This window comes from Homo sapiens, chromosome 5 (assembly GCF_000001405.40).
Source record: "Homo sapiens chromosome 5, GRCh38.p14 Primary Assembly".
In the NCBI taxonomy this organism is placed as follows: domain Eukaryota; kingdom Metazoa; phylum Chordata; class Mammalia; order Primates; family Hominidae; genus Homo; species Homo sapiens.
The window spans coordinates 10947774-10963739 of NC_000005.10; the positions used below are offsets into that span (position 1 = coordinate 10947774).

At 42.1% G+C, this 15966-nt stretch overlaps 1 annotated feature.

Annotated features, from left to right (window-relative positions):
• Window positions 14432–14641: an enhancer, noted in NCBI's record as "active region_22383". NCBI's record gives its function as "activates an Ori minimal core promoter by ATAC-STARR-seq in GM12878 lymphoblastoid cells {active_cell/tissue: GM12878}" and the evidence as "EXISTENCE:reporter gene assay evidence [ECO:0000049][PMID:35858748]".

The following is a 15966-nucleotide window of genomic DNA, read 5'->3' on the forward strand; positions in this document are numbered from 1 at the left end:
TGTCATCAGGTCCCTACCAGTTATCCCACGTCAGACAACCTGATTTTTGTGAAGGCACTGGTATGCTTCTGTCATCCTCTCTGGAATGGCTGGAAATACAGGACTTTAACTAGAATTCCCAGTGTGAATTCTTTAGAACACAAGTTTCCTAGCAGGTGAATAGTTGCCACATAAAAAAATAGGTTCAGTTACCAAATAAATCTTGGAAATTTGTAGTGTGCATTGGCACATGTGAGAATAAAATACTCCAAATAACTTATTTAAGGTCACTTAACACAATATTTCCCATCATACCATCTACAGGACCAGGGGACCTGAGACCTCGTCAAGAATAAAGGGTCTTTAAAGATGAACCATCATCCTCAGTAATGGACAGGAAACCATTTTGGAAAGCATCAGCACAAAGCAAAGCAGAGAAGTTGCTCAGCTGGTGTTTGGGATTGAAAGCCTTTAACAGCAAGGGCAAGAACACTCAACTCAAATGCAGGTGGAAGAAGGGAGACCGTTGGTTCACTTATTATAAAATGTAAGAGTAGATTTGTTTCAGCTGGGGCTTGGCCTCCACTAACAAATGTTAGGAAAGTCAACTCAAACTTTAGCAGAAGAAGGAAAATTCTTGGGTTGTTTACTAAAAATCCCAAAATGAGGATAGGCCGAGGCATTCTAACATAGTCATTGGGGACTGGTGTTTTTCTATCTCCTGGCTCTGACTTCTGCCTCTTTGATTTCATTCTCAGGACCCCAGGTGGTGTCTTTGCCAGCTCTGAACTCACATCTTCCTCACTGCAAAGGAAAAGTCAGAAAAGTCTTCTTGCATTTCACTGATTCTGCTGATTGGATGACATAATCCTCTCTGAACCCATCATGGTGGCCAGGGAGATACCATACTCTGATTGGTCAAGTCTGAGTCCTGGGACCAGGGCAAGGGCCAACTCCACCCAATGCACATGGTCAGAAGATAGGCAAGATAGTGGTCTGCAAGAGAAAAATTGTGGCATTATTACCAGAAGTAGAGTGAATGGGTTTTTGGTGGCTGGAATACAACTGCAGCTGAGAGGAAACCATTAGCCAGCATGTGGTTTTGTCTTTATGTATTTAAAGCAATTCAGTTTTACAGGATTAAAGAATTAGCAGGTTAGTGGTGCAGATAATCAAGATGCCTGCAGTTATTATAGAAAATGCTAGATAAAGAAGATGTCCCCAGAATATGAAGCAAAGTTTAGCCTCTGAAAATGTGACTATCCAAAATTCACCTCATAGAGTATTCATCAGTGCTCTGTTCCTTAGTAAGTTGGTTTCCTTAAGGGTAAGGACTTTATCTCCACCTCCCTGTTACTCAGCATAATACTTTGTGCTGAAGAACTTGTTAGAAGACCATTCTTCACTGAATTAATGAATAAATTTGCAGATATAATTTAAGATGATATTTTTAAAATATATGTCCTGGGGTGCTTGGAAAACACCCCTGTCCAGTAAAAAGGGAATGTTTTTTGGACCATACTGTGCTAACAGGGAAAATCGGTAACCTAATAAGTTGTTCTGAACGTGTCTGAAGGCTATGGGAAAGCAAAATCTTGGTCTAGGAGAAGTCTAGGAAGGGAGAACAAAGAGCTGGGGCTTTACAAAATCAATGGGAGAGGGGCCCTGTGCAGCTGTCTAAGTCTGGTCAGCCTGCTATAGACTGGCAGGCTTATAAACAATAGAAATTACTTCTCACAGCTCTGGAGGCTGGAAGTCCAAGGCCAGGATGGCAGCATGGTTGAGTTCTGGTGAGGGTGCCCTTCTGGGTTACAGACGGCTGACTTCTCACTATAACCTCACAGGACAGTGGGAGTGAGGGGCTTCCATTGGTATACATATATAGGCACTGATGCCACTCGCAAGGGCTCTGCTTCTGTGACCTAATCACCCCCCAAAGGCTCTACCTCCTAACACCATCACCTTGGGATTTCAATATATAGATTTTGGGGGGACACAAACTCAAACTAGCTTAATTCTGTGTAGCTTTCTTCTCTCCTGTATCTGACCCACAAATTCAAGCCTCCCTGGTCTCCCCAAACTTTGGGTTCTCTCTCTCTTCAACTCAGCAAGGTACTGCTTGAGGTTCCCTCCCTGTCCCCCATGTAGTGTGCTGTTGAGACCACAAGGCTTGGCTCATCTTGTTTCCTTCCACTCAGGGACCATAGTCCTGTGCAGCCCTTTGTGCAAACCCTTTTACTGCATCCATTTTCTCCAGTTCTCTGCATGTTCAAGGTGAGAGGGGAAATCTGGCTCCTGTTACTCCATCTTGGCCTTTGACACGTGCAGTGAATACATTGTGCCTGGCTGCGAGTGCAGGCCTAAGGAGGACACGTGGAATGGACAGAGGAAGGAGGGAAGATACAACTGGCTCCAGAGTTCTGACTGCTGGACACCATCCTCACAGCTTCTCCTGGTTCTCTGATGAATGACAATGGCTAAATGTAATTTGAATCCCCAAGATGTCCTAGTGGACATTTATCACATTTTCTGGAGGTGGGGCATTGTTAGGACATATTTGCTTTAGTCTAAGTCCAGTCTTCCCAAGGCAGAGACCAGAACATTTGGATCCTGAGTGGTCACTAAGTCAGCGATGCAGGCATGTGACCTGGGCTCCAACCATCAGCTTCTGCCCTGAGGCCTTTCAGTTGAGTGACTTGAGGAATGTGGCTCTGGGCAGAATCCATTCTCTCAGGACAGGTGGTGGCACAGCTGTCTCGCAAGACCCTCTGTCTTAATCCATTTGTATTGCTATAAAGAAATACCTGAGGCTGAGTAATTCATAAAGAAGAGGTTCATTTGGCTCACAGTTCTTCAGGCTGTACAAGAAGCATAGTGCCAGCATCTGCTTCTGGTGAAGTTTTAGGTTGCTTCCACTCATGGTGGAAGGCGAAGGGGAGCCAGTGTGTGCAGAGATCATATGGCGAGATAGGAAGCGAGAGAGGCAGGCGAGGGAACTAATAGACCAAGAACTCACTCACTCTCCTCACCCCAAGGAGGACATTAATGTATTCCTGAGGAATCTGCCCTACTACCCACAGTCCTTATTAGGTGATGCCTTCAACATTAGAGATCAGAGTTCAACATGAGATTTGAAAGGGTCAAGCAAATCAAATTATAGTACCCTCCCTGGGCAAAAGTGGGTTGATGTGGACTGAGGCTACCATGCTGTTTCCTCTGGCACCCAGAAGACAACAGCAGAGGCTTGGCTCCCTGGCCAGGCAGCTCACGGCTGGATTTTAGCCACTGTGCCCAGAACCTTAGCTTTTGGTCTGTTTCACCAGCCATCCCAACAATTCTGTAAAAGTACCTCCTTGTTCTTCTTCATCAACCGGAGTTGGCTGAATTCCACTCTTATTTGGAAGACTTATTGTCTTGGTTGTATTATTATTTGACTAAGTAGCAAATGACTGGCAAAGAGATAACTGAAAAATAGGATGTAATTTTATCAAATAAAGAAAGTCTACATTTAAATAGCTGCTTCCAAGTAGATGTAGGTCCTCATTTATAAGCCATCTATGTACATCATAGACCAATGCTGAAGACCAGAGGAGAGCAAAGGCATTAATTATTCCAAGACTTATCTCTTTCTATTGTCAACTGTAACATTTTTCCACTGGAAATAAAATCTTCTATTAGTCTAGTAATTGTTTCTGAATATTTTAATGACCTGTGTCAGCACTATACAAACCATATATTTTCTGAACAAGTTTCTAGGCTTCACAAGCATTTCCGGAGATGGACATTAGTAATCAAGGTATAGGATGTACTAAGCTGACAAATGGTTTTCTCTAATAGAAGGCTTGGAAATAGCATCTGATTTCATTAATTTTATAACTTCTCATTCATTTACATTTGTAAGTTGAACATGTACCCGCTATGCTTCAATTCATTCTTTTGAAAGAAATGCACAGACCAGGGTCATTGTTATGGATAAATGTGCACCTTTTAAAAACAGCATGGGTAGTTGTGGCTTAGAGTGGAAATAATGATGTCAACTGAGCCACCAGGATGATGCATGCCCCAGGAGTCAACTAGATAAGATGTGGTCATGGAAGATATGAAATTCTATCTTAATAAAGCACCATCAAGTCCTTGTCTTTTAAACATAAAATAACTTATTCCCAGTCGGTGATAGAAAGCATATCACTTGGAGTTTCTGGTAGGAGTTGCTTTAGAGTGGAAGCATATATTCAAATTTTGAATGGTATACTTCGCTCCTCACCAATATTACTTGGTGACATTTGTATGGACAGGCAAGAAGCTACTTTGTTATGCAAACCTTTGAAAGGGGATGAGAGAGAATAAAAAAATCAACAACCAAATAAATGAATGGGCTATGAACATAATAGGTGAGACATTGAACTAGCTGTTGTTTATCCTGGCAAGAAGTTGAGAGTGTTTTTAAAATAGTATCTAAATCCAAAACCAAGCCATTGTAACAAGAAAGAAAAGCCTCATTGGGCTTTTTGTGGTGTGTGAAGCAAAACTGTAGATATAGAGAATAAATTCACTAGAAGAAACCTTGGAAGTGCATTTAGTTCAATGCTCTCATTCTGTCAATGGGGGAAACTGAGGCCCAGCCAAGAAAGTGATCTACCCAAGGTCGCTTATTAGTTAGTGGGAAAGTGCTATAGACTTAATGTTTGTGTCCCTCTGAAATTCATATGTTGAAATTCTAACTCCTGAGGTGATGGTATTAGAAGGTGGGACCACTGGGGGATGACTAAGTCATGAAGGTGGAGGTCTCTTGCATGAGAGTAGAGCCCTCATAAAAGAGACCACAGAGAGCTCTCTCCTCCCTTTCTGCCATGTGAAGGTAGAGTGAGAAGACGGCCATCTATGAACCAGGAAGCAGGTTGTCGTCAGACTCCAAAACTGCCATGGCCTTGATCTTGGACTTCCCAGCCTCTAGAACTGTGAGAAATAAATGTTGTTTAAGCCACCCAGTCTATGTCATTTTTGTTATAGCAACCCAAACAGGCTAAGACAGAGCATGTAAGTTTAGAAGACTGTGTCAAAGGATGGAGCACTGTGAAAACTTTACCATTTGATCCAGCAATCCCACTACTGGGTATCTACCCAGAGGAAAAGAAGCCATTATTCAAAAAAGATACTTGCACATGCATGTTTATAGCAGCACAATTCACAATTGCAAAAACGTGGAACCAACCGAAATGTCCATCAATCAACTAGTGGATAAAGAAACTGTGGTATATATGATGGAATACTACTCGGCCATAAAAAGGAATGAATTAATGGCATTCGCAGCAACCTGGATGATTGGAGACTATTATTCTAAGTGAAGTAACTCAGGAATGAAAAACCAAGCATCCTATGTTCTCACTCATAAGTGGAAGCTAAACTATGAGGATGCAAAGGCATAAGAATGACACAATGAACTCTGGGGACTCGGTGGGTAAGGGTCGGAAGGGTGTCAGAGATAAAAGACTACAAATTGTGTGCAATGCATACTGCTTGGGTAATGGGTGCACCAAAATCTCACAAGTCACCACTAAAGAACTTACTCATGTAACCAACACTACCTCTTCCCCAATAACCTATGGAAATAAACTTTTTTAAATAAATAAATAAGAGTTAGTTACATGAAAAAAAGATGCTAATACCTACATAATGTGCCCATCGTGATGAGTAAAAATCTAGGGAATATTTGCAAAGTAAGGAGCTCCCAGCTCCTCCATGCTGTAGGCAGCAAGGTGAGCAATATTCTCCAGGGATAATTGTTTTAATAGGAAAAGTTGCCTGGGTTTCCATAGACCTGAATGGGCACTCTCCTATTGAACACAGGACCTGAATAAAACCCTATAATGATAGGCTTTTGCACTAACAGCCCCCTCAATGCTGGATCAAGATGCAAAAAGGCATGGCTGAAATGAGATGACATCCAAATGCAATTAAAAAGATCAAAGGCATAGATGCAAGAAGAGAGTGCCTGATAAAAATAATTTTTATTTGCAAAATCAAAAACAAACAAAACCCTCCCCAAACAAAAAAAAGACCTAGAGTTTTAGTTGATTCAAGCTTACGGTGCACCAAGGGTGTGATGTGATTGTCCTATAAACTGAAAGAAAACTTAGGCTGAATTAATCGGACTCAGTGTCCAAAAGCCCTAGAGGAAGTAACAAATAGGGGGTATAGATTCAAGTTCAATATAACAGGGAACTTTCTTGCTATTTATTGTGTTATTAGATTGGGCTGATAATTTGGTGTGCATTTCTGGAAGGTTGTGAACAGCTGGGTGAACATCTGTCAAAGAGGCTGCAAACTTGATTCTGCTTTTGACAAGGTGACCCCCAGCTCCACTCTAACTCTAGGGTGTAAGTCTAAAGTCTAGCTTTACTCTCCAAGTCCCACCACATACTGTGTGACCTTAGACAAGTTATGAAACCTCTCTGAGTCTCTTTTCCTTGGCTTTAAGATCAGGAAGATTAAATATATCTCTCAGAAATTATTTTAAAAAATCAGTTTAAGATATGTAAAGCAAAGCCCCTGGTATAGTGCCTGGTACATAATAATTTTTAAAAATATTTGTGTTGTCAGAACTGTCCATTCTTCCATTTATAACAACTCATTCAGGGATGAGCGTGTGAATCCCATAACAATTAATGAGATAGACTGTGATTTCCACCAAGGCTTCGTGGAGTTCTTCTTGCTTAATGGATTTAAGGCTGAGACGGCACTTCCTAGAGATCCTATTACATCTGAACTCTGAGATTAGGACCAGGACAGCTGCAGACAAAGGCAAGAGCCAGAGAGAAACAAGCCTGTGAGGACTTTGGTCCACCATGCCTAAAGCTTGATGACTTCTAGGCTTCTCATTTACATGTGTCAATTAATTCCATTTTGCTTCCTGCAGGGTTTCAGAAAAACTTAACTAAAGAATTGTGACAGATGCAGTCCTGGAGAAAGACATTCTCGTATCCTTACAGTTTTATTATTGTTGCTCCCATGCAAAGCCCCAACTTGGCAACAACTTTTCCTTTCTTCCATGCATGGAGCTATGAAGCCACCATGGGCACTACTTTTCTTAATTATCTACCTCTTCTTACAGCCCGGGGCAGACAACTTGACACATCGAGGACACATTGACCTGAAAAGTCTATTGTTGTTTTTGGCAGCTCTCAGCTTACAGATCATACCTTTAAAACCACAGCTGTGTCTTCTTTAGTTCACCCTCGAGGTGCCAAAAGCCTAATCAATAATGAATAGCCATGATGTCTTCAAACTGACTTTAGCATCTGGCCTGAGGAGGGGCACACCAAGTCTGGGTCTCATGGCAAGCAAAAGTTGGAACGAAAATAGAAATGCTGAGGCAAGCTCAATCACAATGTAGATTCACCAGAGGTTCTCTTCTTTGAATGTTACATTTCTGCCATCACCTGCTTGCTAGTTAAATTAACCGTCAAAACCTGCGACAAATTGTGGCAAGGCTGAAGTGAACTAACATGGAAGCTCCATGACCATCACTGAACAAGGTTGTTGAAGCCACAGCTCTGACACTTTCTGATGTCAGCTTGTCTGAATGACCCCTGGAGATTCTTCTGACAACCTCCAAGGAGGCCATGGGTCTATTGATGGACACGAATCTGAATTTTAGTGGCCAAGCTGCTGGAGGAAGAGTTTTAAGGGCCTAGTGGTTTCCATAGATACGAGTCATTCAATGCTGATGTTCTTCCCAGAGGTGCCTCTTTCTTCTGTTAGTGTTGTATAGTCCCCTTGCAAAAGCAGCAAGGACCCTTACCCCAAATTTAGTTCAGGTATGGAGGTTGATGACTCTCCATGCACAAAAGTGTTTGAGAGAAGGTTTATTGCTCACACAAGGGACTCTCTGGTAGAACTGAGCAGGTGCCAGCAGGCCCGGGGTTGGCTCAGGCAGAGTGGAAGAATGGGCTTGGGCCTTCAAATAAGTGGCTAAGAGCCCAGCACATGCTCACTGGATTTAGGGCCCAGTGAAATCCAGTTTGACTTAATCTCTCACCTTGATTACATCTGCAGAGATCTATTCCCAAATGAGGGCACATTCTGAGCTTCTGGGTGGACATGAATACTTGGAAGAAACAGTTCAACCCAGTCCACAAAGTGAAAGCACTTCATTATCACTTCTGAAAAATCACCTTTATCACACTTACCATATTGCTGAATTTCTGCTTCCCCAAATGGGACTGGAAAGAACCTTCACAGGCTCATGGGATTCCCAGGAAAGTTTGACCCTGGAAGAGGATTGAGACCTAAAGAATGGATTTGCTCAAAGCAGAGCTGAGACGGGGAAGCGGTGGAACAGGGATGCCACCTCTTCAGCCCTCACCTGAGGGCAACACTGGCTGGGGGTGGAGAACCTTAGTGTCCCATACTGGCCTGTTTTCCCAGCAGAGACACAGCTGAGTCAGCAACAGTGAGTGTGACATTTGGAAGCATCATGGCCTCAGGATGAGTGTGGTCACCAGTGCTGTTAAATATAGTTCTCATGGCTGGTGCCCCATTAAGACAGATTTGATGCTTGGTGACACATTCAATTTGAAAATTTCCCACAGTTAGGCTGGATTCAGTGGCATCCCCCTTTGATTCCTGTGGGGCTGCCATAACAAAGTACCACAGGCTGGGTGCTTAAACAACAGATATGTATTTTCTCACAGTTCTGGAGGCTGGAAGTCCAAGATCAAGGCGCTGTCAATGTTGATTTCACTCTGAGGCCTCTCTTTCTGGCTTGCAGATAGCTGTCTTCTCACTGTGTCCTCACATGGGCTTTCCTATGTCCCTATATATGTTCAAGTGTTTTTTTTTTTCTTATAAAAACACCAGTCCTGTGGGATTAGGGCTCCCTCTAATTACTTTGTTTTAACTTAATTACCTCCTTAGAGGTAATTTAATAGGGTCACATTCTGAACTACTGTGGCCCGGGACTTCAACACATGAATTTGCAGGAGACACAGTTAAGCCCATATCAATCCCTTCCACACATTTGTGTTGAGTGAGCAAAGTGCATGCCTTCCTTTGTTACACATTTCTGTCTCTGAAAGTTATGACTGTCTGTCAAGGAAGGGTCTAGACTTTAGATGGCAGGGCCATGAGGCACAGCCAGGCTGAGAGCTCAAAATCGTGACTCAGTTCAGCGTGTGGGGTGCACGAATGCTGAGGGGTGGGAGCTGAGGTGCAGCACTGACAGTTTCTTGACTTTTCCCTTAGAGAATCCCAGTCTTCAGGGGGTCTTTTCAAGACATTTATACCTTGACTTCCATCCGTGCTGGAAACGTTTACCCACCTTTGCAATTGGCAGGCCAGGTTGCAAATAAACCTACTTCTAAGCATGAGACTCAAAAATACGAGGGACTCTGTTATAACTGTAATTCCAGTTACAGAGAAGAACTTAATATAAGATAGATTATTTGAGGGCCTTGTTCTAGGAATGTATATACAGCAAGAAGCTATTTTAATCCCAGCTCTTTGGGAGGCCGAGGTGGGTGGATCACCTGCGGTCAGGAGTTCAAGACAAACCTGGCCAACATGGTGAAACCCTGTTTCTACTAAAAGTATAAAAATTAGCTGGGTGTGGTGGTGGGTGCCTGTAGTCCCAGCTACTCAGAAGGCTGAGGCAGGAGAATCACTTGAACCTGGGAGGCAGGGGTTGCTGTGAGCCGAGATCGCCACTGCTCTCCAGCCTGGGCGACAGCAGTGAAACTCCGTCTCAAAAAAAAAAAAAAAAAAAAAAGGAGAGTGTTTTGTTGTTGTTGTTTTTTCTATAGACTCTGATGATGATGCTATTGCAAAAGCCAGGTGTGGAAGACAGAATAATAGTCCTTCAAAGATGTCCACATTCCAATCTCCAGAACCTGTATGTTATCTTACATGGCAAGAGGGACTTTGCAGATGGGGTTAAAGAACATAAGGTGGGGAAATTATCCTGGATTATCTGGGTGGACCCAGTGTAATCAGAAGGGTCCTTATAAAGGAGAGAGGGAAAAAGGAGACAGGGGTGGGGGAGTAGAAGAGAGAAGGAGTTTTAGCCATGCTACATGGCTGGATTTGAAGATGGAGCCAAGGAAAACAGGCAGCTTGGAAAAGACAAGGAAACAGATCCTTCCTTAAAGCCCCCATAGGGGCACAGCCACATAGCCCTGCCATCCCATCTTGGACCTCCAGAACTGGAAAATAACACATTTCTGTTTTAAGCCATGAAATCTGTAGTAATTTTTTACAGCAGCAATAGGACACTAAAACCTCAGGGTAATTAAGTTACTGTATCTTGAGCAGCCAGAAGTAACTTGGTAACATTATCACTGAACAATTGCCTCAGCATCTTCAAGGTGCAAACAGTGGCCTATTTTTTTATTTTTCTAAAACAAGAAATGCACCATCTGTCAATTTAATGGCTACCTTTCCCTCATCTGAGTTGATCCAGCATCTGAGGCTTACAGAGTCCAGCAGAAACGGGGTCCCAGGTTCATAATCTACACTTGTTCTAAATGCTGCTGTCCCTGGGCTGAGCTGGGCAGGGTGTTACACTGCCCACCCCTTTACCAATCCCTCTTCTACACATCACCTTTCCTCAATTCCTCCTAATATGCTTCACCTTGGAGACCTCCCTCCTTCCTCCACATCCCCTGCAACACACTGATGCTCTTTTCCCTACTCCAAGAACCTACTACTGGCATCCCTCTAAAGCCCACCTCTCCCTCTAGGTATGGCCATCTGGCTCCATCTCATGTCTACTCTTGCATGGATGACAGCCATCACATCCCTCCATCCAGAAAACAGTCTCCTTCAGGTACTAGAATGTATCCACCTTGGAGAGCTTTGGGTGGTTATTAACAACACTGGTTTTCTCATTATATTTGTTTCCAAAAACTTTTATATAATGCCTCTTACGTGGTAACTTCAGTGATTGTGGGCTAACTGAATGAATGTTAATAATATACATTAGATGTGGCTGTTTGAGGTATTTCATGGTTCCATATGAATTTTAGAATTATTTTTTCTATTTCTGTGAAAAATGTCATTGAGATTTTGATAGGAATTTTATTGAAACTGTAGGTTGTTTTCTTGAAAAGTAGCAAAACTGGAGGCATCAAACTTCCTGATTTCAGAATATATTACAAAGCTACAGTAATTAAAACAGTATGGTACTGGCATAAAGACAAGCTTATGGTACCAATGGAACAGAATAGAAAGCTGAGAAATCAACCCACACATATACAATCAATTTTTCCTTCAAAAGGTGATAAGGGTGCCAAGAACAGACAATGGGAAAAGAATCATCTCTTCAAAAAATGGTGTTGGGAAAAGTGGATGTTCACATGCAAAAGGATAAAATTGGACCCTTATTTTACTCCATACGCAAAGTAAACTGAAAATGACTCATAGACTTAAACATAAGTCCTGCAACTATAAGATTCCTAGAAGAAAACAGGGGAATAGCATCATGACATTGATCCTGGCAATGATTTAATGGGTCTGACAGTAGAAGCAAAGTTCAACACTGACAAAATTAGACAAATGGAGCTGCATGAAACTGACAAGCTTCTGCACAGCAAAGGAAACAATCAACAGAGTGAAAAGGCAATTTACAGAATAGAAGAAAATGTTGGCAAACCATCAGATAAGGGGTTAATTTCTACAATATAAAAAGAACTCCTACAACTCAGTAGCAACAAAACTAATAACCTGATTTAAGACAGTGTAAATACTTAAATAGACATTTATCCCAAGAAGCCATGCAAATGGCCAACAGGTACATGAAAACATGCCTGACATTACTAGTCATCAGGGAAATGCAAATCAATGTCACAATGAAATATCACTCACACCTGTTCAAAAAGATGAACAATAACAAGGGTTGGCCAGGATGTGAAGAAAAGGGAGCCCTTGTACACTGTTGGTACAGCAAAATGGTACAGCTGCTATGGAAAACAGTATGGAGGTTCCTCAAAAAATAAAAAAAATAAAAATACCATATCAATATGGTTTGGCTGTGTCCCCATCCAAATCTCATCTTGAATTCCCACGTGTAGTGAGAGAGACCCTGTGGGAGGTAATTGAATCATGGGGGCAGGTCTTTCCCATGCTATTCTTGTGACAGTGAGTAAGTCTAACGAGATATGATGGGTTTATAATGGGGAGTTTCCCTGCCCAATCTCTCTTTTTATGCCTGCTGCCATCCATGTAAGATGTGACTTGCTCTTCCTTGCCTTCTGCCATGACTGTGAGGCCTCCCCAGCCACATAGAACTGTGAATCCAGTTAAACCTCTTTCTTTTGTAAATTGCCCAGTTTCAGGTATGTCTTCATCAGCAGCATGAAAACTGACTAATACACATATCATCTAGCAATCCTACTTCTAGGTACTTATCTAAAAGTATTGAAACAGGATCTTGAAGAGATATTAGCATTCTAACATAGTTTGTGACACTACTGACAATAGTCAAAATGTGGAAGCAACTTGTGTTCAGTGACAGATGAATGGATAAAGAAAATATGGTATGTACATACAAAAATATTATTCAGTCCTAACCAGGTGCGGTGGTACACACCTGTAATCCCAGCTGAGGCAGGAGATTGCTTGAGTCCGGGAGTTTGAGGCTGCAGTGTTCTCTGATTGTGACTGTGAATAGCTGCTACACTCCAGCCTGGGCAACATAGCAAGACCCTCTCTCTAAAAATAATATACATATATTTTTTAAAAAGGAAATCCTGCAGTATCAGATAACTTGAATGAAACTTGAGGACATTATGCTAAGATAAATAAGCAGTCACAGAAGGATGTATACTGCATGATTCCACTTAAATGAAGTATCTAAAATAGTCAAATTCAAAAAATCAGGGAGTAGAATAGTTGTTGTCAGGGGCTGGGGGAAGGGGAAATGGGGAGTTGCCAGTCAAAGGGCGTAAAGTTTCAGTTAAGCAAGATGAACAAGTTCTAGAGATCCGCTGTGCAATGTTGTCCCTATAGTTAACAATACTGTATTGTACACTTAAAAATTTGTTAGAGGGTGGATCTCATGTTAAGTGTTCTTACCATCACCACCACCACAACAAAACACAACCAAAACCAAAAAAGGTTGCACACTCGTACAGTAGTTAAAAATGTTATGGGCAATGGTATGCTAGAGCTGGCCTGTAATGGCTCACAAGAGCTGATTGTTAAATTTTCAGGAAGATCCTCGTTAAATATAGCCATTATTAAGTGTTAAATGGTATAAATTTACAATTAAACAAATTAAATTGAAAGTAAAGGTAATAAATATTCAGAATACATCACAAACGTAATTATTTCACTACATTCTACTACTATCTATGTTCTAGAGGTTACCTAAGTTATTATCTATTTTATCTGCATCCTGGAAAGTACATACAGGTTTACAACCAACCACCACTTTCAACTCTGCATTCAGAGACATCATATTGGCAGGTTGAAATTGGTTATGGTGTGTGAAGTTACACCACAGAAACTGGCAAATGCCATAAATCACATATTTTTTTTTTTGAGTCAGTTGTTAAATGTTCACCAGACACCACTGTTCCTAAGCCAGTTCTTCACAAAAGACTTCACAAAGACTCCAAAATGGAAGCAGAACTGATATTACCACCAATTTACTAATACAGAAAGAGAGACCCAGACATTAATTAGCTTGTCCAAAGAAGCATTCGGAGTCCTACTATACTCCATATTTTTACCATTATATAATTTTAAAATCATTTATTAATAATTGAAAGAGTCTCAATTATCTATGATCATCTATGATAATTGAAATTAATTATTAAATTCTTACATTTATTTTTACTTTTTCCTATAAAGCATAATACATTATAAAAATCATGGTAGAAATATAGATTAAACTAGGGTTGCCAGGTAAAACACAGGACATCTAGATAAATTTTAACTTCAGATAAATTATGAAAACATTATTTAGTATGTTACAAATATTGCACGGGACACATTTATAACAAAAGAAAGTTGGAGGTCGGGTGTGGTGGCTTACACCTGTAATCCCAGCACTCTGGGAGGCCAAGGTGGGTAGATCACAAGATCAGGAGTTCGAGACCAGCCTGGCCAACATGGCGAAACCCCATCTCTACTAAAAATACAAATTAGCTGGGCATGGTGATGCATGCCTGTAATCCCAGCTACTTGGGAGGCTGAGGCAGGAGAATTGCTTGAACCCGGGAGGTAGAGGTTGTGGTAAGCCAAGATCGTGCCATTGCACTCCAGCCTGGGCAACAAGAGCAAAACTCCATCTCAAAAAAAAAAAAAAAAAAATTGAGGTTATTTCACTCAAATTCAGTGAAACACTAGCTATGCTTTCATATTAACAAGACAGGAAGTTTTCTTACTCTATTTCTATTAAATTATTTTTTTAATCTGTAAGGTACATGGACGTACTTTGGTCAAGAATTAGGCCGAGGCAGACATCCAGGCCTGCATGACTCAGCGGGACTGGTACGCAGGTGCACACCTCCACTTGTTACATAACCTGTTTGTGTAAGCTCATACTTGGCTCTATGCCACTATTGTCTTTTTTTTTGAGATGGAGTTTCACTTTCTCATTGCCCGGGCTGGAGTGCAATGGTGCAATTTCAGCTCACTATAACCTCTGCCTCCCAGGTTCAAGCGATTCTCCTGCCTCAGCCTCCTGACTAGCTGGAACTACAGGTGTGTGCCACCACGCCCATCTAATTTTTTGTATTTTTAGTAGAGATGGGGTTTCACCATGTTGGTCAGGCTGGTCTCAAACTCCTGACCTCAGGTGATCCACCTGCCTCAGCCTCCCAAAGTGCTGGGATTACAGGCGTGAGCCACCGTGCCCGGCCGTATGCCACTATTATCTGTAAAGGGTATAACTGCCCTGCTGATGCTGATACATGCTGCTTGGCTCTCATACCCAGAGAGAGAGAGAGTAATGCTACTGACACCTGTAAGGGAGAGCTGGCCTTGTAGGTAAAGGAGTGCAGCTGTAGGTGTGGGGGCGGCAGGGGCTGTGGAGCCAGCTGCTGAGAGGAGCCACAGAGCTGGAGCAGACGGCCAAGATAAGGGTGGACAGTGCAAGAGAGAGCTAGAGTGAGTAAGCTGCTGATGAAAGAGCTACTGAATAAAACTACATTTCACCCACCTACGGCCCTCCAAGTGTTCTTTCAGCTATCTGCCACCTACCCACTCCTCTCAGACCTCAGCATGGGCTAGAACCTGACCCTGGGCCTGACATTTGCTGTAAGAGTGGACCTGACAAAATGACTTTCTTTACCACGTCCTCTGGTCAGTTCTACCTTTAAACCTTTGCTAGGGTCAAAGTTAATTGCATAAATAAATTGCTTACGATTACCTAGTGCAGGTACGATAACCTAGCGACTTTGAATTTCTACCTAAAAGGGACTGCCAATCTCCTTTCTGACTTTTTAGACATCTCTGGAACAGTCTAAAACAAAATAGAAGCATTTAAAAACACCATTTCCTTTTCCATTCATGGCCGTTTCATCACACAGTTTGCACAGTCATCTCCTCCTGGGGGGGATAGAACAGTCTCCTTGTCATTAGCACACTCTGGGGTCAGGTGTATCTTGGCCAGTGGCTTTAGTTTTTTACGGATTAGAAATTCTTAGGAAAGTAAGTAAAGCTGCCCTTCAGAATCTTGGGTCTTGAGTGAACAGAAAATCTGGTTGGGATACCTCTCTAATGGAGCTCAGGAGTGTGCCTGGACCAGTGAAGCAGTTGTTGGCAGGTTGATTATTGCACCTGTAATGCCGAGTGTCTGGCTATTGAAAGCTGGCGGCATTCATCTGGGCCATGTTTCATTTGCTGCGAATGCTCTTTATTTTTAACAGGGCCCAAGGATTAGTGGCAAAGAGCTCCCCTTAGAAGGTATGGGACTGGGAGTTGTGGAAACAGAGCAGGCAGTTACATTGCATTGGTAATTTAGGTGGCGTGTGTTAGCAGAAAAGG